The sequence below is a fragment of the Homo sapiens genome, chromosome 15 (genome assembly GCF_000001405.40).
Source record: "Homo sapiens chromosome 15, GRCh38.p14 Primary Assembly".
Taxonomy (NCBI): Eukaryota; Metazoa; Chordata; class Mammalia; order Primates; family Hominidae; genus Homo; species Homo sapiens.
The window spans coordinates 82,123,543-82,141,150 of NC_000015.10; the positions used below are offsets into that span (position 1 = coordinate 82,123,543).

Below are 17,608 nucleotides of genomic sequence, written 5' to 3' on the forward strand. Positions count from 1 at the left end.
GATTTAAACAAACAAAAGGGGAACTTATTGTCTCATGAAACTAAAAGTCCAGGGGTAAGGTACAGAATTCAGATGCTCAAAACAATGCTATCAGAAATTGGTCCCTCCTCATCTCTCAGCTCTACTTTCCTATGCTAGCTTCCTTCTCTAGTAGGATCATGTCATGTGACAAAGATGGCTGCCAGCAGCCCAGGTGTTTTTACTGACATAGCAGTTTTAATAAAAAACTGTGGTATGGCCAGGTGCAGTGGCTCATGCCTGTAATCCCAGCACTTTGGGAGGCCTAGGCGGGGAGTTCATCTGAGGTCAGGAGTTTGAGACCACCCTGGCCAACATGGTGAAACCCCCTCTTTACTAAAAATACAAAAATGAGCTGGGTGTGGTGGTGGGCGCCTGTAGTCCCAGCTGCTTGGGAGGCTGAGGCAGGAGAATCACTTGAACCCAGGAGGCGGAGTTTGCAATGAGCTGAGATTGCACCATTGCACTCCAGCCTGGGTGACAGAGTGAGACTCCTTCTCAAACAAAACAAAAACAAAAACAAAACAAAAACAAAAAACCAAAACTGTGGTGCTTCTTTCCCACAAGCCCTGAGGCTGACACTCACTGGACCATCTTGGGTCACATGTCCATTCCATTGATACCAAGGGACTTGAGTGACTGTCCAAGCCTGGATCACATGCAGGTGTGGTACTGTCAAACCCACGCAAACCTCATGGACTGAGTAGAGATGATAAGACTTCCCGAAAGCAAAGCAGGGTGCTGTTTCCAAAGGGTCTCCCCTCCTGCCTACTGCAAAGGAGAAAACTTAGAGTTACTGTAGATATGAATAACTCAAACCTAGGATCCAACAGGTATCGAGGGGCCCCAATTTAACAAAATGTCCCTCCCACCTCTCAAGTCCTTTGCCAATGGACTTTGTACAACTTGGCATCGGTCCCTTGGAGTCTGGTCTAGGGCAGCTCCCTGGCCCTTGTCCCCCTCTTACAGCCTCTCTTCTCTATAGCAGCAGACGTCCTGCAGGGGGAACTGTTCAGCTTGGGGGTGGGGTGGGCATGTGCGGAGGTGAGCTCCTCTAGACTAGGCTTTGAAAGCCATTACTGATATATCGGTTGCCTCCAAATGTCCAATCAGGCCAGGGCAGGGGCTGTTCATCCACTGTAGAGATTTACCCCCTCAGCCTTGAAGCCCACTGTCACCTTCCTAGAAGGCTCTGGTCCTTTCCTGTCCCTGCGGGTGCTGCTCATCAGGTTCCTCCTGCTGGGCTCAATTCACTGGGCACCAGGCTGCCTGTGCTGCCCCACGTGGTGGGTGCCCTGGGGGCTGTTCCTGAATGACTACAGCACCCACACATACTACCTTTCTATGAACTGCTTCCTCTATGGCTTCCTGGCCCTCCTGCTCTTTGAAAGGAGGGAGGGGCCACGGTGGCAGAGGTACTGAAGAGGTGGCAGGGGACTGAAAGTAAACTTTGGCTCTGGCAATGAAGGCAACAGGTGCCTCCAAGAAAGTCAGTGTGGGGAGATGGCTGTGTTGAGTGGCGTGGCTGGATGGGGAAGATGAAGATCAGTGTGTTGGTGAGCCTTTGGACAGACTGGTATTGGGGTCCAGGCTGAATGAAGAGCAAAGAAAATGAAGCCAAAAGGGGATAAAAAGGTGAGAGAAATGGTGGGCTGGCAGTTGTGGGAAGACAGGTGAGAATGAAGCACAGCAGAGTTTAAAGTTTCTAGGTCTGAGGCAAGGTAGCCGTGGGTACCTTGAGTACCAGAGTAGCGTTGGGTGCCGCTGCCAAAGCAGAGGGGAGAGAGGGAGTTGGGGGCAGGGTTGTTTCAGGAACTGGGAATGCCAGGGAGGGCCATGCAGACAAGAAATTGTTTCTTGTTCAACACTTGCTAGGTCAAGCCCACATGGTGCTGCTAAGCACTTCCCAGTAGCTCCTCTTTCAGCTGTCACCAGTAACTGCTGGGGATTCACAAGGAATGAATGAATGAAGGGCAGCCGGCAGCCCTGTGCGTATGTGGACTGGCATGGGGTGGGTGGGCTTATTTGCTTTGTTTTGAGTAGCAGGGCCACTGTCCAAAAGTCAACTGCCTTGGGGTCCTCAGGTAGCCAGTCCCACTTGCTATGCCTTGGGGACAGACAGCTCCTAACCTGACAAGGGCATTGACTACAGTGTAAAATCTGACCTCTAGGAAACGCAATGGAATAGAGTGTAGGCCATCCTCCTTCCCAGGCCTAGACTGTTCAAGACCAGCTGGACAGGAAGGCATAAAGAAAAATAGAGTAAATATACGGTTTGAATTTTTGCCACACTAGATTAACTGATTCTTTAATTGGTCTGAATTCATATACCTTCTTAGTGCATTTGCACTGCCTAATAATTGTAATAAACACAGCAACAACAATTAAATATATTGGGCACCATATACCAGGTACTGTGTCCTAACACAGATTATTTCAGTTACTCCTCCCCACAACCCCTTACATATGGGGAATTATCCCCCACCTTACATATGAGGTTATGTCAGGTTTAAAGAGATTGAGTTGCCCTGGGTTGGCTAGAAGTGACAGAACCCAGGACTCTCTGGCGTCTCAACTCTTGCTTCCTTGTACCTGATCCCATCGCTATACAGTACAACATCAGGGCTTTGTGGCTCAGCTGGAATGTTTTCCTCAAAAAGACAACAGAAATAATTCTTTGGAAAAAATTCTACAATTTGAAAATAGTGGAATTTGTAAATTAATAAATAAAAATTCAAGATCATTGATTCTGCAAAAATGTAGAAGCTGCAGCTGAGGTAAAAAGGCATTTAAAACTGCACATTAAAGGTTGATTCTTTCGATGAGATCACAGTGAAATCTGGGACAGGAGAATTAGAGCTGTTATGCCTTTTTGCCATGAACTTGAATCATACAAAATAATCTTAGGCATAGGCAGATCCAAAGACCTGGCAGAGATGTGTAAAACCCACAGGCTAAATGTAATTCCCCAAGCCAAACAATCCCAGCCCTTGAGGGTGGTGAGGGTGAGGTAGACCAAGGGAGGACCTGTGGGGCTGAATCCAATGGCTTGGCTCTCTGGAATTTCCTCAGTAAGGCCAGAAGGCCCAGAGGACCTGTGGCTGGTAAGAAATCCTATCCCCATTATTCACGATCAAGTCTCTGCGCCTCACCTCTGGCCCAGGGATGTCCAAGTTGGTAGGGCCAGGCCCTTTCTAGTGTTTCTGGGGAACCTATATTTCTGTTCCTCCCCCTCACTCCTTCTCGCCCCTCTTCTCTGGTAGGAGCTACCTTGGCTCCCTAAAGGCTACTGCAAATGGCTCTGCTTGTGACCTGAAAGACAGATGTGCTGCAGAGTGGAAAACCTTCCCACTGTTTATTCCTAAAACTAGAAGATGCCCTCTGGGTTGCAGGTTCTGTATACATAAAACAGGATCAAAAGAAGGTCTTAGTGCTTCCATGGTCTGTTTCATGCGTTCAGGCTGACATTCATAATCTTGTTTTTAAAACCTGATCTAAATTACTGTCTTTGGCCAGGTGTGGTGGCTCATGCCCGTAATCTCAGCACTTTGGGAAGCTGAGGTGGGCGGATCACTTGAGCTCAGGCATTTGAGACCAGCCTGGGAAACATGGCAAAACCCTGTCTCTGCAAGTAATATAAAAGTTAGCCGGGCATGGTGGCATACGCCTGTAGTCCCAGCTACTAGGGAGGCTGAGATGAGAGGATCACTTGAGCCTGGGAGGTCGAGGCTGCAGTAAGCTGTGATGGCACCACTGCCCTCTAGCCTGGGCGACAGAGTGAGACCTTGTCTCAATAAACAAACAAACAAACAAACAAATTCTTGTCTTTATTTTAATGAATTTTTTTTCTAGCTCAGCAAGTGTATAATGTTCTTTGCCTTAATAAGCCTGGGCAACAGAGACCTTGTCTCAATAAATAAATAAATAAATAAATAAATTCTTGTTTTTATTTTAATGAATTTTTTTCTAGCTCAGAAAGTGTATAATGTTCTTTGCCTTAATAAGAAAGGAAGAGTTTGACTACTTGACAACAGAAGACCTTCTAATTCCCAGATTTGATAATCTGTTCACCTGAAGGGCTTTGACTCCTGGGACAAGCTCACCATAGCTCTGAGCCTTATTTGGCTGTTCTAAGGTAGAATAAAAGAGATCTTTTACATCTAGGTCCCTATTCTCAGCTCCAAGTACAAAGGTTAACCTAATTTCTGAATTCCATTATTTTTCTAAACTTACTGGTCAATAAAACTGAGTCAGTCCAGATAATGATTTTGTACCTTGGACACTGGTAGCTTTACCTAAGTTCAAGGCAGAATAGAAATAAAGATGCCCCCAAGTCCTCCTCTACCATAGTGAATATTCAGCATCTACTGATAACTTCTCTGATCCTAACATGTATCAGGCAATAATCATGGGAATCCTTGTGTGATGCACTACAGCAGAGCTTGCCAAGAGGTATGACGGAATGAAAAATGGGACCGTGGGCTGTAAACTTAACTTTCGCCAGGCTCTAATGAATTTCCTTGCCCATTTCATACAACAAGTGTGAGGATCAAATACATATAAAAAGTCCCTCACCTGGAGTTCGAGACCAGCCTGGACAGCATGGTAAAACCTTGTCTCTACTAAAAAGACAAAAAATTAGCTGGGCATGGTGGCGCGCACCTATAATCCCAGCTACTCAGGAGGCTGAGGCAGAAGAACTGCCCTCTCCGGTGCCAGGCATTCTTCACAAAAGTCCCAATAGAAGGGAATTTCCCTTCCAGTCTGTGGAAAATCTGATACAGGAAAACAGGCTCTTCACAGCCTCCCAATCAGAGGGCAATGGTGATGGTCTCCATGCTACTTGCAGCTCATCCTCCAGTGGGGGCTGGAGCCCAGGCCCTTCCCAGCCTCTCCTCCCCTCACCCACCGACTCCAGGATGTCTGGGAAAAGGCATTATGTTGGTGTTGCCTATGCCTGTCCCCTGAGCAGAAGGATAGCTGCCTCTGGACCTCAATACAAATAATTCTCCAGGAGTGAGAGCCGTGGTTTTGTGGCTTCCTCAACCTAGCCTTCCTCACTGTCTCTGAAGCCTATCTATAAATGAGTGTACAAAGCCAGCCCCTCTGTAAGAACAGGAACACTCTCACTTCTACTTGTGGACTGACAACATTTTGCTTGGCTTCTACTGAATTCAACAAACAGAGGCTAGGGTTTGGACATGGCATTGGGCACAGTACAAACGTAGTCTTACTATGCTGTCACAGAAGGGGACAGGGTTTCAATGACTGAGGTCTCGTCATGAATTACACAATAAGGTAGATTATTTAGATGGTAGATTGGCTCTATCCCTTGGTCTGCCTCTTTGTGGCCACTTTCCTGCTCATTATTACCTCTCTCAAACATGGAGAAGGAAGACAGACAATCTATCAACTCGACATGTCACTTCCCCCACACTGGCACATCTGTCAGGGCCCAACAGACTGCAGAAAGTGCAACTTTTTCTCCAACTTTTTCTGGGTTATGCCTCTTTTCTCTATTAAATGCAAAATGTGCTGATCTAAGTATACATTTTATAGCACATCTGGCAGTTTGAATGATGTTATTTACAAATGCTATAAATCGAAGTGCTAGTTTTTCCTATGTTATCAAAGTTTTCAAATAAACCAATAGATGATATAACTCTCCTAAACTAACTCATATATTATTATCTGTTGAAATTAAACAGACAGTGAATTATCCAGTCACATTTTCCCCAAAGTCTAGGCCAATTAGATTTGACCAGCTATGCCAGGGCCCTGAAGATTTAGAGATAAAATGTCTACAACTAGTATTAAAAATGACCTAGTTTATTAAGAAAACCCATTAAAGTATTTCAAAAACAAAGTCTGGTCTGATAATTTTATGCTATGAAAAGGAATCCTTCTTTTAAGTGGCTATAAAAATTATTATGCAACATCAAAAAATATAAAATCTATTTTTGTCTGAACTGCATTTGCTCCTTAAATGAAGATCACCCTGAAGGAGGCAACTGAGATTTAGAAAAAATATTTACAATAAAGCCATAACCTCATGCACATTAGCTAAGTAAGGCTAAAAGGAAATAGCAAATAAAATTATAGAAATTTACCTTTTTTTAAAAAAAAAGAAAAAGGTACAGGGATAACACCCATTAACACTGATTTAAATAGGAATGATAAAATTTATGAGTGGGTGTAAAAGCAGAAGATTTACAGGCTAACTATTGAACATGATACTGTTTTGCTAGACAACACCATAAGATGGATGAGCTGTAACAGTGACTTGGTTTAACTAAAAAGCAGCTGCTCTCTCAAGTATGCGGTCTCTCCAAACAATGTTAAATGCTCTGATTCACTGATTAAATATGAAATGTTTCCACTCCGAAATTCACACATGATGTTTATGTGGAGGATGTACTCAGAATTATGACACTGTGATGACAGGCAGAGACAGTGTGAGCCCCGGAGTGGCCGCTCAGTGCAGAGGAGACTGCCCACTGTGGGTCTGCACATCACCTCCCCACCACCAAGAGGGTAGCCCTGACCACACGTCTTACTGCTGGGGGTTATACACAGGGCAGTCATAAATCATCACTGCAATATTTATAACTTCTTGCCTTGAACCAGAACCAATTAAAAACACACTTGGAAAACATGTTCTCTAACATCCTCTTTAAAATATTTATATGGATCAACTTTATTGAAAGTGAATAAACAGAGATAATGTGGCAAAAAGAAATTTTCCCAATATTAAACCCTTGATGATACTTTTAAATTCACTATAAGGAAAAGAATCCACCAGTAGTAGGTAGCTACTTATTTTTGCTGAGTGTCCTCTGCTTTTCTGCATGCTCCACAATCTTTTCTTCCACATAAAGCCCCTTCCGCTTTCGTACTGCGTTCATGTACTTCCGGGCTTGGTTCTCAGAGTCAGCCTTCTCCCCAAAGTGCAAGTATTCCTCCTCAGTAGTTGGCACCCAGAAGGGGTCACTGGGAATGATCTTGTAAAAGAAGATGACAGAATGTGCAAGGTTAGGCATTTTTAATTTCAAACCTTATTCACTGAGCTCCCCAATTTATATAGTCTTAGCTAATGAAAAAAAGTTAGGCAATGAACAGCTAAGCTTGCTAGGAATGGTAATAAGTATGAAGAATCGGCAGGGTGTGGTGGCTCACGCCTATAGTCCTAGCACTTTGGGAGCCAAGGCAGGTGGATTGCCTGAGCTCAGAAGTTCGAGACCGGCCTGGACAACATGGTGAAACCCCGTCTCTACTAAAATACAACAACAACAACAACAACAAAAATTAGCTGGGTGGGGCGGCATGTGCCTGTAGTCCCTGCTACTAGGGAGGCTGAGGCAGAAGAATCACTTGAACTCGGGAGGCAGAAGTTGCAGTGAGCTGAGATCATGCCACTGCACTCCAGCCTGGGCGACAGAGTGAGGCTCCAACTTAAAAAGAAAAAAAAAAGTATGAAGAATCATGGGAGGTGTGAACAAATGGAAGTAGATTCAACAAAACTTGTAACATACATTATTATTCTTTGCTCCTAGCGCCAGTTCATAACACTAAGGAAGAAAGAAAACTATTAATTTTTCATAATATAATTTTTAAAAGCTTTCATTTTTGCTAGGATATATCTGAATGTTAATGTCTTTGCCATCAATATTTTGCCTTTGTCCTCAACCTCAACAAAGATCAACACATGTAACTACACTCTTATTATTATTACATATATTTTTTTATTTAAGAGACAGAGTTCTGCTCTGTTGCCCAGGCTGGAGGGCAGTGGTGCAATCATACTCACTGTAGCCTCAATCTCCTGGGCTCAAGTGATCCTCCTCCCTTGACCTCCCAAGCAGCTAGGATTACAGGTGCATGCCACCATGCCCAGCTAATTTTTAATTTTTTTTCTGGAGGTGGTGGGTGCATGACATTGTGAATGGGAAAAATGCAGCAAAATGTTTATTTAAAATGTTCAAGTTTGGGGGAGGCTGAGGCAGGTGGATCATCTGAGGTCAGGAGTTTGAGACCAGCCTGACCAACATGGAGAAACCCTGTCTCTACTAAAAATACAAAAAATTAGCCAGGCTTGATGGCGCATGCCTGTAATCCCAGCTACTTGGGAGGCTGAGGCAGGAGAATCTCTTGAACCCAGGAGGTGGAGGTTGTGGTGAGCCAAGATCACACCATTGCACTCCAGCCTGGGCAACAAGAGTGAAACTCTGTCTCAAAAGAAAAAAAAAAGTTCAATTTTATGTTGTATGAATTTCACCTCAGTACATTATTTTTAAAAAGAGAGACTTAAAGAAATTTCCCTGAATACAGAATACGGCACAGAGAGATGGAGATTAAAAAAAAAGTCTCAAAGGAAAGTCAAGAGCCATCAAGTATGTATAGGGTATATCTAACAGGAGTTCTAAAACCAAAAAACAGAGAACAGGATGAGAGTCTTCAGATGGAAAAACCTCACTGAGTCTGGACCAAGATAATAAAATAATCCACCCCTTGTGACAGTGTTGAAATGCTGGAAATCTGTGGGCACCTGCATCTCCTGAGGCTCGATTCTGACCCACTAGACACTATAGAATGGGAGGTGTGAGCCACAACTGTGCTTCTTGCTCTTGAACAAAGGTTGGAAACAAAGCAGCTGCCTGTGTCCTGGTGCTGAGGCAGGTACAGAGAAAATCAGAGAGAAAAGCCAGATCTAGAGAAGAACATGAATCAGACCAACGAGACGCTTCGCATCAGCAACAGCAGTTGCTGGGACACAATGAAGTCCTTCAGAGTGCTAAGGAGCCTCAGTGTGAGCCTACACGTCTTTATCTAGTTAAATAAACCATTATCAGCGAACCAAAAAAAGCCTCTGTTGGACAGACTTTAAAACATATTACCTCTCATGGACACTCAACAAAAGAACTAGAAATATCCTTTCAAAAAAGAGTCCCCGGAAGGAAAAGGCAGACAGTAGAAGTGAGAGCAGCCAGGGGGCACAGAGGCATTATCAGCACTAGAGTAATAACTCTGGTGGGTGACAGCAAGTCTAAGGAGCGTCTCGAAGTGGGAGCCCAGTTAGAGGTTGGGCAACAAGGGGCAGAAAAGGAGACAAGGTCCAGGAATTGGGGGGGGGGGGGGGTAGGCAGAGTGGCAGACAAGGGCGAATGGATGGAATTTAGACGAGAAACGGCAGTTAAGAAGGAGGAGTGGGGAGGAAGCTCAGTCCTGTGGACTTGGTCATCTGAGGGGGTTCTTCTGGGTCAGAGGGTTTGTGCTATAATTTTGTGGGCACAACAGTCCCAGAGACTCAATTCTGATTCACCAGCCACTGGGCCTAGGATAGAAAGGCTCATTCCAGATCATTCACCAGCAAACAATGTCAACACGATACCAGTAGGGCTGAGTCAGTATGGGCTCAGGGCCTGGGCAGGAGGAAGGGAGGGAAAGTGGTTGCCACTCAAAACAGCCTGACTGGTCAAAAGCCACCCACCCAGGGTGAGGGTAGGTGTAGCTATGTAGGGGGAGCATGAGGGAGCCTGTGGTGATGGAACAATTCTGTATCTTGATTACATAAAGCTACATATGTAATACACTTTTATAGCACTAAAGACACACAAACTCCCATGAATATACAGAGCAGAAGAAAGGGAGCCTGCATCTTTGATGGTGTCCCTGAGCCATGGTACCAGCCCTACTTGCTTAAACAATTACTATTCTGGCATTATGGTTCTTGCGGCTGAAAACACTCATAATCTATCAACTGATACAGGGTTGTTGTGAAGACTGAAGAAGATATTATATGAAAGTCATATGGTAAAGCACCTGGCATATCCTAGATTTGTCTGGCTCCAAAGCCTGCCCTTTGCCATGTTTGCAGACTGCCATGAAGACTGAGTTTATCCAAACATAAATTGCACAATGGTACTAGCTAAGTCAAGTGCATTTATTATAACTGGTGAAACCTGAACAAGTGCTATGGGTGTATCAATGTCAATGTACTGTAAGAGATGTTAACATTGGGGAAGGAGGGGTGAATGGCACATAGGACCTCCTTGTACATATTTTTTGGTAACTTCCTATGGAAAAAAACTATTGTAATTTTTTTAACAAATTCTTTTTAAGACACCCGGCCACAAGTTATAATTCTCTTTTGTCTGGAGGTAAAATTCTCAACATTCATAAGAAACACAAACTGTTTTCAGAATTGGTTATTCTGCTTTGCTGGTGGGAGGACAGGGTGAGAGGGGTGGTGTCTGTTTCCTCATATGCGAGGAAACAGGCAGAGAGACTGCAATGAGCGAGAAGAACCAAGTGAGTCTGTGTGGAATCAAACCCAGAGAGTGAGGAGTCGGGGGTTGGCACTTCACTGAATCAGGAGCAGGCACTGAGGCCAGAGTGAACGTGGTGTGAGGGTCAACTGCACTGGCTCTGGAGCCAGGCAGTCTCCCTTCAATGCCAGTTCCCTACTTGCTTAGCTGTGCGATCTTGGGCAGCTTATTTCGAACCATTTATACCTGGGTTCTTCTATTTGTAAGGATGGAATGTTAAAAGTCCCAATATCATATGACTGTATGAAGACATCTTCACTACTCCTGCATCTGTGTGGACAGCCTGAAGCCACTTGCCTCAACATACCCAACAAACTCTGAGAACAGGGGAGATGGAGTAACACTCGAGTGCTCGAGGCTGGTTTTGAATTTCCTTAGTGGAGCAAAGACAAGGCTACCCTTTTATGGTTGTCCAGCTTGTGCTCTACAGAAAGGACCCTCCAGGCCACAGAGAGGGGCTTGATATCAAACTGAAGAAAAAGGTGCTTTTTTTTTTTCCCTCACTGCCTCACCCAGAATTCATCGGCCTAGAGTGAGAATGTATTTTTGCAATTCAACAGCCTGAAGGGGATGCCATTTTCTAATCATAAGAAGGCACCCAAGTGCAAACTGTTACCCTAGGCATTAAGGGAAAAGAAAGCCTAGAAGGAAAAAGCTCTGGGTGCTCCATTTCAATTTTCTGCCCAGTTTTCACGATGATTACTGCTGGCAGGTGGAAAATACCATGTCCAAAATAAGCTTGTTTGGTGCTATTGTAATCACTTCACCCGGTATGAACTTTAGCCCACCCCTCAGGGTAATCTCAGTAATAAGCGATGAATCTTGAGGTTATGCTGACATACATGTACAACAGCACTGGTTGGTAATATTTTTTCTTTCTGTGTCTGTTATTAGCTCCTTTTCTTCCTTTTTCATAGAAGGGTAAAACATAGAAAGAGAAATTATGAGATTGCTGACTTCAAAGGTTTCCTCATGGAAAAATGCCTGTAATTTTATTTTCTCTATTTTTTGAAGCACTTTCTCTCAAAAGCTCTTGATTGTAAATTATATGGTGTGGTAGAATACAAATGAAAAGAAGTGCCTTGGAGTGAGAAGCCATATCTCAACAACTGTGTTATTTCTAAACCTAACTATGGGGGAAAAACCAAGACAGCCAAAATATATCAGATCAATGACATTTAATTATAATGTAGTTTTTAAGATTTCAAAGATTTGAAGCTTTTGGGAACAGGACCACGACAGGTGGCAAGGACATGGCAGAAGGATGGTACAAAACTGGGGCAAAACTTTTCTTGAGAATATTTTTCTCTCAAGTTATTTATTTAAGAGACTTATTTTTAATAACGAGATGTAGCTAAGCCAGAAAGTAATATTTTTTAAAAAAAGTATTACATGTATAAGATCAATTTTAAGATTTTCTTTTTAAATTTCTGAAGGATAAAGGAGACGGACAACCATCAAGGCTTTCAGGTAACAAAAACTGCCTATTTGGTAAAATCTTGCTGTTTTTATACTAGTTGTCCCTAAATATCCGTTCTCTACCTTTCTTTGGTAATAGATATTTCAGGTAGGCATATAGCCACCTAGAGTCCGAAGGTGGGGGCATACTTTTCCTATAAAGAGCCAGACAGTAAATATCTTAGACTTTGCAGGCCATATATTATTTCTATCATAGCTACTTTACTCTGCTTAAAAGCAGCCATAGAAAATACATACATGATTGGGTACAGCTGTATTCCAACAAATTTTATTTATCAAAACAGACAATAGGCCATAGATCTAAAGACTACATTTCCCAGCCTCCTTCTTAGGTGGGGCCTTGTTAGATGTGGTCAGATGACTGGTTTTGGGCATTGGCATGAGGGTGAAGTGATGTGTGCAAGATTCAGTTTGTGTCCTTAAAGGGAAGGAGTATATCTTATTCTTCCTCATCCCTATTCTTATTGGCCGGAATGCAGATGTGATGCGGGAGGTAGAACGGCCACTTTGGACAATCAGTGGGAGCTAAGTGTTGAGAAAGGCAGCAAGCCAGAATGGGCCTGGGCTCCTACCACAGTGAGTCACATGTCAGCCCTAGTCTGCCTCCTTAGACTCAAAAGAGAAATAATCTCTGCCTTATTTGAGCCACTATATTTTGGGATCCCTTTATTAGAGCAGTCTTACCTGCTTCCTAACTAATATATCTGACAACTAAGAAATGAAGGGAACTTTATACATTTTTCTAAAAAAAAAAGCTTTATAAAAATCACTTTTGAGGATAAGACTGTCAAATGATGAGATTTTAAAACAAAAAATTGAATATACGAATTCAAATGAATCATTCTTCCAATAATGATGCCATTACAACAGCTCTGAATGCCTATTTGGGATCTGCATTTACAGACAATCCCAGTGATTACTTAACCTACATCCTCTTTGTTCTGATCAAACATACTATAACCCAGTTTTATGCACAAGTGTTAATCAAGGCCATCTTCATGAGATGGATGACTTCTCATCTCTAAGATATTCAGAAGCATGACTTGTGAATTCTGAAGGCAGTTTGCAGCAACAGTAACGCCAATGAAGAAAGCATTCTTCGTCTCAAGGTCATTAGGTTGAAGTGGACTGAATCTCTCTGGTTCTAAATATCATTTAGCTGTATTGCTCTGTAATCACACATCTGGTCACTAAAACCTGTGGTAGAGGATGCTGTAATGATTTTTTCATTAGAACCATCAGTAATACATTTGCACTACAGACATAGTTCTATTTTTCAGGCACTGCCTTTTAAAACCCATCCCTTATATTTCTTACTTGGTTTGTGTTCTTATGTAAAAGTTGAATGCCAAAAACCAAAACCAAAACTAAAAAGCTAGAATTTTGGATAAATGAGAAATTACTACCCACAAGCACAGGAATTAAAAAATAAATGTTTGGGGGGTACTGTTTTCTACATAATGAAATTCAGCAATATCGCATCAGATATAAGCCAGCAAAGCCATCAAAACACCATTAAGTTTTCAGAGAAATATGCAAAAGTCAAGAAAAGATTCATAGTAAATTACTGTTAAAACCTAGAGTTTGTACTGACCAAAAAAACGTAACCTAAATCATAGCATTAACCTTGGTTCTGTCAAGCATTAAGAATGTGATTTTTTTTTTTTTTTAAAGGAAAAGCAGACACAATGGTGTGCTCTGGGCTAGCAACTTCACTTGCATCAATTTAGATGATATGAACTTGCTGAATTAAAATCAAATTTGCCCTGTCCAAAGTCAATTTTTCTGAAGTGCCACCCTTCTTTACTTCACTGATTCACTTGATTATAAATTTCATTTTAAAAAGAAAATTCTCCCTCAATTATTCTCATTTTCCATTCTCTTCTAAATTTAAACTCTTCTTAAAGTGTTCTGGAAAAATGGACCCATTAGGCTAAAGAAAGTGAGAAAGATAACAGCTTAGCATTGAAGCTAAATCATGAGTTCTGCTGAAATAGAGTTTAAGAAAAAAAAACCATGGATTATCTGTGTGAAGCCCTGTGCAATGAATGCCACACCGCTGAGAGCAAGCCAAAATGAATGTGGTGTAGACTCAGAGAACGAACCACAAGGAAACAATCTTCGCATCAGCAAGGGCTGGTCAGCCACAATGTCAGGAACTAGGTTAGATATTTGACCTAGGGGTGAAGAAAACTCAGGGAGGGTCCATGATTTGTCCAAATAAATAGAAGAATATTTGAAACCAGGACTCTCTGACTCCAAAGTCAATGGTTCTTCCATTACCTTACAAGCCTCCATGGTAAAAGGGAATAATGTGAAGTTATTTCAATTCCCTGTAAACAATAACAACAAAAACTGCTTTCTTAAAACAATCTTTCTACTTATATCCTTGAGTTTACAATTTGATTCCTGACCTTAGGCTTTTTCTTGAAAAGTAAATTGTTTTTTGCACATGCCCTGCAGTTTGTTTTTACCAGCCTTTTCTCATGCGGCACCTTCTGATTGAGTGTCCTTCTTCTTAGCTGGTTAATGTCTACTTTTCCTTTACAGATATGTTCAGGACAGCTGGTCTGACCTTATCTTTGCCACTTGTTATTCTTTTTTCTCTAACTTAACAATGTGTTCACAATCTTTCCTTCTCTCCTCCCTCAGCAATGTGGATCTGTTAAGTTTTCCTTTCTGATTACAGATAAGGTTTGCCTTTTCACCTACCTTTACCTACACTGACAATGAAGGGTTCTGAGTAGCCATTTCGTTCCATTCTCATTCCACAACACCTGAAAGCCACAGAAACCTTGAATCTCCATAATGGGGACTGAAGAATATACAGTACATAATAATTTAAAGCTACCCCTTGCAAGAAGTGTAACTGTTCCCCTCTAATTACTGGAGATATTTTTTTTTCCCCTAGAAGAAAATATTCTTAAAATTTCACATTCAAAAGGTCTGTGATTTTCTTTTAAAAATCTAAAATATATATTTGGATGAAAAAAGGATTAAATTTTCAGCATCTTAAATTTTATATTGAATAAAAAGGACAAATGAGAGAGAGAGAGAGAGAGTGTATGTGTGTGTGTGTGTGTGTGTGTGTGTGTTTATTATAAACCACAGATGATCTCAGGCTCATTCAATCTGGATGAAAAAGCCATTTGCTTTCTCCTGTCCATTTGACTGAGTTGAGCCATAGGAAGGCCAAATGGCATGATCTGTGTTGTTTGCTACTCTTGGCCTCCTCTGTAGGGAATGTATCCATAGATGAGAAGGAAGGAATGAATGGGAACTTGGATTTTTACCTCCCAATGGCTGAATACTAGTTGTGGGCTGGCCAGGCCACTTGTCCTCTTCCTGATTTCATCAGCAAAACCAAAGCTTTCAGCAACAGGCAGCACAGCCTTGATGATGAACATGTCTGTCCCTTCTTTCATTTCTTCTTGAAGTACCCGACCTTCTCTCTTTGACAAGACAGCATAGACTCGACCTGTAAAACCATAAATCTTTTAAAATCATGGATCAATCATATGGCTTGAGCCACACCAAGACATGATTACCCATATACTCTGTAACAATCCATAAATGATTAAATTTGTTCTCAATAATGTTGATTTACAAAAGCAAGGAACACTTTTTAAGTGTTTATTTAAAAAGCATGAGATTTATAGAAAAATTGGAAACAAAAAATAACAAAAAGTTAAATCACCCCAAACTACACTGCTCATAGACAAACTCCACAAAACAGCATGAGAAGAAGATTTGTAAAAGGACCTTTCAATGCAGTTTCACCTATAAGCTATCTTTGGGTCTGAAATCCAATGAGATGAGTGACTGGGCTTCATAAATATTAAAATATTTGAATAATTTTGAGACCTTATTGACATGGCAATGATAATTAAGATGGCATAGGCTATTTGGGCTTAGTAGGCAAGCAACTGGCATTTTTATACCAAAAATTAAAACCACACACATATATATTTGTTCATAGTTTTCTTAAACTGGTAATATTTAAGTGGTATGAGTATTAAGTGTTTTATTCCCCTGAAAACTGATAGGTTTGGAATCTTTAAGGTCTGGTAACAATTTCTAGTGCCACAGCACAAGAATTCCACTAGCAAATTCTCTTGGATGACTCTTTCAATTCATCTTTAGGCACAATTCTGCCTCACACTCAGGAGGGAAACATCTTCCCCTCTGACTGGTGTTCTGTATGAGTGTCTCTGGGTATGCAATGTATCCTTTCAACTAGTAAGGAGAACAGACCCTGCAAAGAATAGAGATACATTGAAAATCACAGACAATCATGAAGGACTTGCTGTAACCAGCAGATACTCTCTTTAAAGCCTTCTCTTTCACCTGCTGCCTAAAAAATAATTTTAGTTACATAAGTGATCTATTGCATATATTATCCTTAAACATTTACAACACTGCTGCTAAGCAGGGCTAAAGTATCCTTTGACCACCATTGAGTCCTGGACCCTTCTCTCCTAACTGCCAAGGTGATGAGTCTGGAGTGTCTGCTACCCACTTACCTTTATTTATTTATTTTTTAAACTAGAAACTGACGACACAAAGCCAAAATGTCTGACTTCCAAACTTTTCTCTCTGATTCAGATTTCCCCCTAGTGGCGGTTATTAGGAACGGAAATAGGAAACAAATGGCAGAAAATCTATTGTGTCACAACGCCTCAAGGAAAAAACCTAAACTAAAATCTCTGATGAGCCTTCACCATGTTTAGGTTTAGCTTAAAAACAAATTAACACTCCATTCGTAATGAAAGGCACCCCCTTTCCTCTTGTCTACTTCCCCAGCTAGCTACTACATTCTCTCCTTCCTTGCTTCCTCACATCTTAAACAGGTAGCTTCTCATTTCTTCACTATGTGCTCTTTCTTTAACATCTAGCTCTCCTGGTTGCTTCAGGAAACTGCTTCCTTGAAATTTCACAATAATTTTCATGTTCCTAACCTAAATGCTTTTTTCCCCCAATTTTCATTCTCTGTGATTTCTCTGTGGTATTTGAAGCTACTGATTAATGTCTACTCTGCCTACTGTCTCCAATCTTAGTATTATTCTCCTTACACTCCTGGCCTTCTGACCATCATTCTCTTTATTTCAGTATCTCCTGAACTTCTTCTTATGAGTATTCTTTGAGGCTTCATACTCTTTGAACAAACTCTCCACTCAGCGAGACAACTAATTTATAATTTGTGTGGTTTAAATTAACTAATTTTATGCTTGGGACTCCTAAGGCCATCTCTAAGCCAGGCCTCTCCTTGGATCTCCAATACCACTTTACAATGGATGCCAGGGCATCTCTGCTGTGGAAGCCAACTTCCTTTCAAATTTAACATGTCTAAGAATATATTATCTACTTCAAAAGGCAATTCCATTCTCCCCATTCCAACTATTTCCCCCGTCATTCATACCAGAAACCTCATAGTTACAGAATCACACAACAGTGGGGTAAAAGGAAACTTGAGGGTCAAGAAGTTCTACTAAAGTAGCTGTTTAAGCTCTCCTTGTATACTCTAAAACTCATTTTCTCCCAGGGTAGCCCATTCCATCTTTGGATAACTGTAACAGCTGACAATTCTTGAGTCCCAAATATGTTCCCCTGAAGTTTCTGACCATCAGTCCTAGTTTTTATCACATGGGACAAGTTTAATCCCTCTCCCACAAATTACCCTGTAAGCTACTCAAAGACAGCTGTCTCATGTTCACTTTTCCAGGCCAATCTTGCTGTGACTAGACCTGTATTTCCTGTTTTATCGTGGCCACTCTCCTACTTGAACT

The 17,608-nt window shown here is 41.7% G+C and overlaps 1 protein-coding gene across 6 annotated transcripts in view; it reads right to left on the bottom strand.

Moving 5' to 3' along the window:
* Positions 1-6,690: 6,690 nt before the first annotated feature.
* EFL1 (elongation factor like GTPase 1) overlaps positions 6,691-17,608 on the bottom strand; it is a 132,502-nt gene continuing 121,584 nt past the window's right edge. For all 6 annotated transcript variants that reach the window (NR_136410.2, NM_001040610.3, NM_001322844.2 and 3 more), the window contains 2 exons: positions 15,116-15,300; positions 6,691-7,019 (listed from right to left, as the gene is read on the bottom strand). Coding sequence is in view for 5 of the 6 variants with exons in the window: in NM_001040610.3 (NP_001035700.1) it covers positions 6,831-7,019; positions 15,116-15,300 (374 nt within the window). In the remaining variant the exon portion in view is untranslated. The remainder of the gene's footprint in view (positions 7,020-15,115; positions 15,301-17,608) is intronic.